A 6683-nucleotide genomic window follows, 5' to 3' on the forward strand; every position below is an offset into this window, starting at 1 on the left:
TGATGCTGTCAGAGACCTGTGGCAGCCCCAGGCTGGCTCCTCCCAGGGTCCGGAGCTCCAGTCTGCTCTTTGGCCGGGAAGAGCAGTCCAGGCTGAGGCCACTCCACAAGGGCATCCGGAGTTGGAGGCCTGTGGCGATCCCTGAGCTCCAACCTACTGTGCCAGGTGTGGACTTTGGGGGCATGAAATTTCTCAGGCAGGGTAGGCACCAGCCAGATTCAAGGGCTAGGGCACTGCCCAGCAACCCCTCTGCCAAAGGGCCAGAGAGTGGGACACACCAGCACAGCATCACCCAGAGTGAAGCCAGGGGTCCCTGGAGTGTCCCGAGTCCCCTGCGAAAGGGGCTGTTGTGGGGACACCCCACAGCCCACCACCTGGCCTTGCCCTCTCCACATCTGCTATGGTGCAAATGTGGCCCCTCCAAAACCCAGGTGTTACCACCATGACAGGATTGAGAGGTGATGAGTCCGTGAGGCCGCTCTCCTGCGGGACCAAGGCCCTTATGAGGCTCTACGCAGTGCCCCCACCCTGCCCTCTGCCTTCTGCCATGGGAGGGCGCAGCAGGAAGTCCCTCCCCAGACCAGACCTGGTGCCTAGACCTTGGACTTCCTGCCTCCAGAGCTTTGAGAAATATATCTCTGCTGTTTAGTAATTGCCCAGCCGCAGGAATTTGTCATCAGGGCACAAACGGACCAAGACACCCTCCCAACATCCCTGGCACCCCGCAGGCCGGAGGAGAGTGGGCAGGGAGGCAGCTCTGCCCTAGGCTTCGGCGGGTGTAGGAACCATGTGTTGGGAGGCCAGGACCGACCACAAGCGTCAGCCTTGGTCCCCCCACCTAGGCAGTGGGGGACAGGACAGGACTCTGCTCCTCCATTTCAGGCAGGAGAGTCTGACTTTTTTTTTTTTTTTGAGATGGAGTCTCACTCTGTTGCCCAGGCTGGAGTGCACTGGTGTGATCTTGGTTCACTGCAACCTCTGCCTCCCGGATTCAAGCAATTCTCCTGCCTCAGCCTCCTAAGTAGCTGGGATTACAGGCATCCGCCACCACGCCCAGCTAATTTTTGTATTTTTAGTAGAGACAGGGTTTCACCATGTCAGCCAGGCGGGTCTTGAACTCCTGACCTCAAGTCATCTGCCTGCCTTGGTCTCCCAAAGTGCTGGGATTACAGGTGTGAGCCACCGTGCCCAACCGGGAGTCTGACTTTGTCCCCAGCAGAGACCCAGCATCCTAGAGGTAGGTGCTGTGTGACCTTGGGCAAGGCCCTGCTCCTCTCTGTTCCTGGGGTATAACTACCTGTCCCCCCTGCAGGGCGGTGGAGAGCACTGACTGGGAGGAGGTGCTGGGGCTGCCAGTGCTCCAGAGGATTGGGGGGCCAATTAGGCAGGGACAGTGTGGAGGGGAAGGAGGCTGCGGGAGAACTGGGAACCCGTGGCCCAGCACCCAGCCCACAGCAGAGCCTCAAACCCTTCTCATCATCTTCCTGGCTCTGGGCCCCAGCTTCCTCTGTCTGAGGCCTGTGGGGTGCCAACACACACACACACACACACACACACACACACACACACACACACACACACACACACACCCCAAATCGCCTGCTCACCAGGGCCCCAGCTGAGCACAATTCCTCCAGCTGGCTGCGCAGCAGAGAAGCCCCAGCTCAGCTCAGAGGGGCTGGGCTTTTTCCCTCCCTCCCCTCCCACGGCGGCTGTTCTGCAGGTGCGGCAGCTATCGAGGCATGACGCAGGCCACTGACTCACCACGCCAGGCTGACTCACCTCCCAGGTACCCCGGCCCTCCTCAGTGGAAGGAGGGCTTTGAGCTTGGGGCTGTACGTCAGCATAGAGCAGCACAGAGCCCCTGACGTGCCAACAACAGTGGGAGGACGTCCTGGGCTGGGCACCTTTGGGGAGCCCTTTCCAGGTGTGGGGGGCAACAGTGTGGGGGAGAGCCTCCCCCTGCCACCCTTCCCCCATGCGCCCTCGTGGGTGGTCGCTGTGAGCTGGAGGGAGACAGTGAGGAGCCTGGAGGCTGGTTTTTTTGTTTTGTTTTGTTTGTTTGTTTTTGAGACAGAGTCTCACTCTGATGCCCAGGCTGCAGTGCAGTGGTGCGATCTTGCGGCCTTCACCTGCTGGGCTCAAGTGATCCTCCCATCTCAGTCTCCCCATGGCCCAGCTGGGACCACAGGTGTGAGTGACCACGCCTGGCTAATTTTTAAATTTTTTTGTAGAGATGGAGTCTCATTATGTTGCCCAGGCTGGTCTTGAACTGCTGGGCTCAAGTGATCCACCCACCCCAGACTCCCAAAGTGCTGGGACTACAGGCATGAGCTTTCGCGCCCAGCCTGAGCCCTGGAGGCTTTTGGCGGGTGGAGCAGCCCCTCCAAAGCCTTACTGGAAGGTATTTTACTATGGGAAACTGAGCACAGGCGGAAGCAGGGCCTGGGCGAGGCTCCCTCCGCCGCCGAGTGTGATCGACGCTCCCTGCCTTCTGCTCCAGTGGCCTGTCTCCCCTGCAGCTTCGAGAGCGAACCCACCCCTCACATCATTCCCTGGCGAAGGCTGTTATGAATCTCTACAAAGTAAAGCCTTTGGAGGGCATGGTCCAGCACCACTGCTGCCCCAATCAAACTGGCGCAAAGCCCCTGTTAGGATTCTCGGTTTTTCCCAACAGACTAAGCCGTGCCCTTTTCCAGGGGTTTTGTTTCCGCATGGCCTTGGGCTGATTCCCGCTGTCCTCCCTCATTCCCCCACTTTGAGGGCACAGCCTGGGGACTGCGCGGGCCCAGCCGGCGGAGCCCCAACCTGGAGAAGCCCGCTCGCCCCAGGAGGCCTCCATTACCAGCGTCCGCCCCCACACCCCCGAAACCGGCTGTGTCTGCCCACGCTGCCACAGCCATCCCAGAATCACACGTGGATGGCTTCATTTCCCACCTGGGCCTGGGGGCCAAGGATGCCTAATTCCTGGAGCGGAGATGGGCTGAGCCTAGAGAGCCCACCTGGGCTGACGGCTCTGGAAACACATCAGTCATGCTGAGCTGTGGGGACCAAGGGGGTGCCGGGAGAGAACGTGGCGCCGGAAACGGAAACGTCTGTGCAGACCAATGGGGTGCCGAGAGAGAACGCTGACTCCGGAAACGTCCTGGCTGTCTGGGGAGGTGAGTCGCTTCACAGGAAGCGTCCCCCGGTGGCCATGACCCCAGTGGCCATGTGGCTGAGGCCCTGGGCAGTGGCTTCGTGACCGAAAGGCCCTGAACCCACCCCGAGGCCCCACAGCTTTTTCTCCAGCTCAGACACTTTCTGGGGCTCAGTCTTGCTGCGGCCCTTGTGGCATTTGGCAGGCAGTGGGTGGACCATGAGTGAGTTAGGAGGCCGAACTGCCCACCTCTACAATGGGTTCCCAGGAGAGCGAACACGGGACCCGCTCCTCCAGGCCTCAGCCCCACTCTGGAATGAGGTGAGAAGACCCTCCGTCACAGGCTGCCCTGAAGAAGGGTGCAGGAGCCCTGGGCCCCAGGGAGCAGAGTCCGAATCCAGACAGCAGGAGAGGAGGGCTCCACACACTAGGGGAGGAACCAGGATCTCAGCTGGCCTGCTCCGAGGGTCATTCACACCTGCAGCCCCACCAATCTGCTCCCCCTCTCAGGGACCCTATCCTCCACCTCTAAAGTGGGGATGTCAGGCAAAGCGGGTATGAAGTCAGGGGGAGACTGACAAGGAGCACATTGTGAACTCTGGTACTGAGATCACCAGGAAGAGGCCTGGCCCCACTTCCTGTGGAGTGGGGAGACCTGGCCCAGTAGGTCCAGGAGGGAGCAGTCACAGCAGGCCAGCCAGTAAGGGCCAGAGTGCCAGATGGACAGGTGTATGGGTGCTGAACGGACAGGCAGATGGGTGGATGGACTGACAGGGGGACAGGTGGATGGACAGACAGGCAGATGGGTGGATGGACGGACAGGGGGATGGATGGATGTACGGACAGGCAGATGGGTGGATGGACGGACAGGGGGATAGGTGGATGGACGGACAGGGGGATGGGTGACAGACAGACAGGCAGATGGGTGGACAGATGGACAGCCGGATGGGTGGACAGACAGACAGGGGAATGGGTGGATGGACAGACAGGCTTCTTCCACTCAGCACTGCTTGGTTTTCAATACTCAAACGGCCTATAGATTTATGTCTACAGCTTCAACACTGGCTCAGCCCAGCGCTCATGGTGGAGCAGCAGACTGGGGATGGAGGGCCAGCACCAGCAGAGAAAAGGGAGGACAGGGCGGGCCACTTGGCCCCAAGAGACACACAGCAGCTGGAGCAGGTTTACAAACTAGATCTGGGTGACACAACCATCCTTTTTAAAGGTTTTAACGGAATCATAGTGACATTTTGATCCCATTTATGAACCGGGAAGCCAGGCTCACCAGCCCACTGCACCATTTAATGTCAGCAAATAAAATTCAGTCAGTAAGAAACCCCCATAAGCCCTTGTTGAGCTGCAATAAAGCAGTTCTTTCGACTTCTGTCCTTTGCAAGCCGTGGACACAGCCCTGCTCTTACATAAGCGACCCTCATTGGTGACCCTCTGTGAGGGGCAGGGACCCCACCACAAACAGAAAGCTTGTGTGTAGGCTGAAGGGGTCATGGGGCACGGGAGGGGTGCTGAAGTTTGAGGCTTTAGGTCCAGTGAGGAGCAGACTCTGGTTTTAGGAATAAACTGTGATGAGGCCACTGGCAAGGGTGGTGGGCAGAAGGCCTGAGACCACTTGCCAGAGGGAGACCCTGGCCCCAGGGTCCCACAGAGCAGGGGCTGGGCTGAGCCCTGGGGAGGCCAGAGCATTCAGCACCCATGAGGGGCCTCAGAGACCCCCGGTATGCCCCCTGTCACACAAGAATCCTCCAAGGCCTCCCAGCTGGGGCTCCTCCCTCTTAGAAGCTGCCCTGAATTCTGTCCTGCTCCCCTAATCTTGAGCCCTGGGGTGGGGGTTTTGAATAATGTCTGTCATTCAGTTCAACAGCAAGGTACGGTGAGAGCTGGCGGCTTCATTTTTGGAACCAGGGAGAGAGAGAGAGAGAGAGGTTTATGAGAGACCTCATGAGACAGCTCATGATGGAAGTGAGACTGAGTTGCAGTGAACCCTGTCACTGAAGAGACAGCCTTCACACTGTGTCTTGCAGGGGAAAATACAACTCTTTATTAAAATTTATTGCCCTGAAAAATGGGCAGTGTTACTTACTTATTCTGGGTAAAGTGGGTTGCAGGTGGCAGGGCTGAGCCTTGGGAGGGCAACCCTGTCCACAGGCCAGAGGCCCCTCTGTGCAAAGGAGCAGGTGAGCCTGGGGACCTGCCACCTCCCCATGCCTGTCATGGTTGCCACCCTGCCCAGTTCAGGGTGTCTCCTCACCAAGAGTCAGGGTCACGGGAGGATGAACCCAGCTCCTGGTCCCACAGATTTGGGCTCAGTTCTAGCGTCCCCTCTCCCTAGCTGTGTGTCTTCAGCGGCCCCTGCCCACTGAGCTCAGCCCCCACCTGCAATGAAGAGGTGACAGCAGCTGCCACCACCACCCCCAAGTCCAGATTTCTCCCCATCCCCAGCCTGGCCAGGCCTTCCTGCCCTGCAGATGGCTGTAAGGACGGCATGGCATCCAAGCCCAGGGCTTGGAGCCCACAGAGTCCCTGGCTTCCCTCAGGGACCCCAGGGGAACTGCAGCACCACATGGGCAAGATCTGGGCTTTGGCCACCCCCTTAAGAGAGAGGACCACCTGGCCCACTCGTGTCTGGGAGGAGGCTGCCAGCCAAGGGAGAGCCTGGGCAGTAGCCTTGGGGAAAGGTGGGCAGGTGGCTCTCCCACCCAGGGAAGGGCCGGCATCTGGGCCATCCTTATGGCCTGCAAAGCCCTGGACACCTCCCCTGCCCTCTGCAGGCAGCAAAGCCTTTGGCATCTGAGACCTGGGCAGGAGGAAGAGAAATGGGTGTGAGAAGAAGGGGAGGCTGGTGGAATGGGGGCATCTGCTCAAGGCTCATCCCAGGACCTCAGAAGGGAAGTGGGGAGAAAACAGTTCCTCGTGAGGCAGCCCCTTTCCACTGGCCCTGCAGCTGCACATCAGACCCAGCCTCTGCCTGCCCCTCCCTGTGTCCAGCAGAGCTGACCTCTGAGCCAAGCCTGCAGTCAGCTTGTCTAGGGTGACGATGCGGCTACGTGAGGGTGCCGGTGGCTCCTGTCAACCTTAAAAAGATCAGGAAATATGGAATATGGTTAAATGTAATTTATTTGCACACAATGCTTGAGAAAGGCCACCTGGGTACACAGATTCCAAAGAATGGAAGTTGGTGCTCCCAAGTGGAGAGGTTTAGGGGTCATTTATATAGATAACGTCTGGGAAGCTTAGTGGGGCTTCAACACTGTCCACACAGGCCCACACATCCAGTTAGGTGGGGCTGTGTTCCTTTCGGGAGAGGCATATTGAACACAGAGGGTAGAAGAGTCATGGGGTCTTCTGTGCCTTCTGGTCTGAGTTGGGTGCAAGATAATACAGAAAGGTCCACAACCGGGAGAGGAGGAGGGCTTCTCTCTCATGTCATTGACTATTAATTGTGAACCTCAAAAACCTGAGACAGGTCTCAGTTAATTTAGAAAGTTTATTTTGCCAAGGTTGAGGACACACACCCATGATACAGGCT

At 58.4% G+C, this 6683-nt stretch overlaps 1 long non-coding RNA gene across 1 annotated transcript; it reads left to right on the top strand.

Annotated features, from left to right (window-relative positions):
- The first annotated feature begins 3167 nt into the window (after positions 1–3167).
- LOC101928087 (uncharacterized) lies at positions 3168–5220 on the top strand. Its single transcript, NR_134305.1, has 2 exons — positions 3168–3460; positions 5011–5220. It is a non-coding gene; the product is annotated as an uncharacterized LOC101928087 (long non-coding RNA).

The sequence above is a fragment of the Homo sapiens genome, chromosome 8, assembly GCF_000001405.40.
Source record: "Homo sapiens chromosome 8, GRCh38.p14 Primary Assembly".
In the NCBI taxonomy this organism is placed as follows: Eukaryota; Metazoa; Chordata; class Mammalia; order Primates; family Hominidae; genus Homo; species Homo sapiens.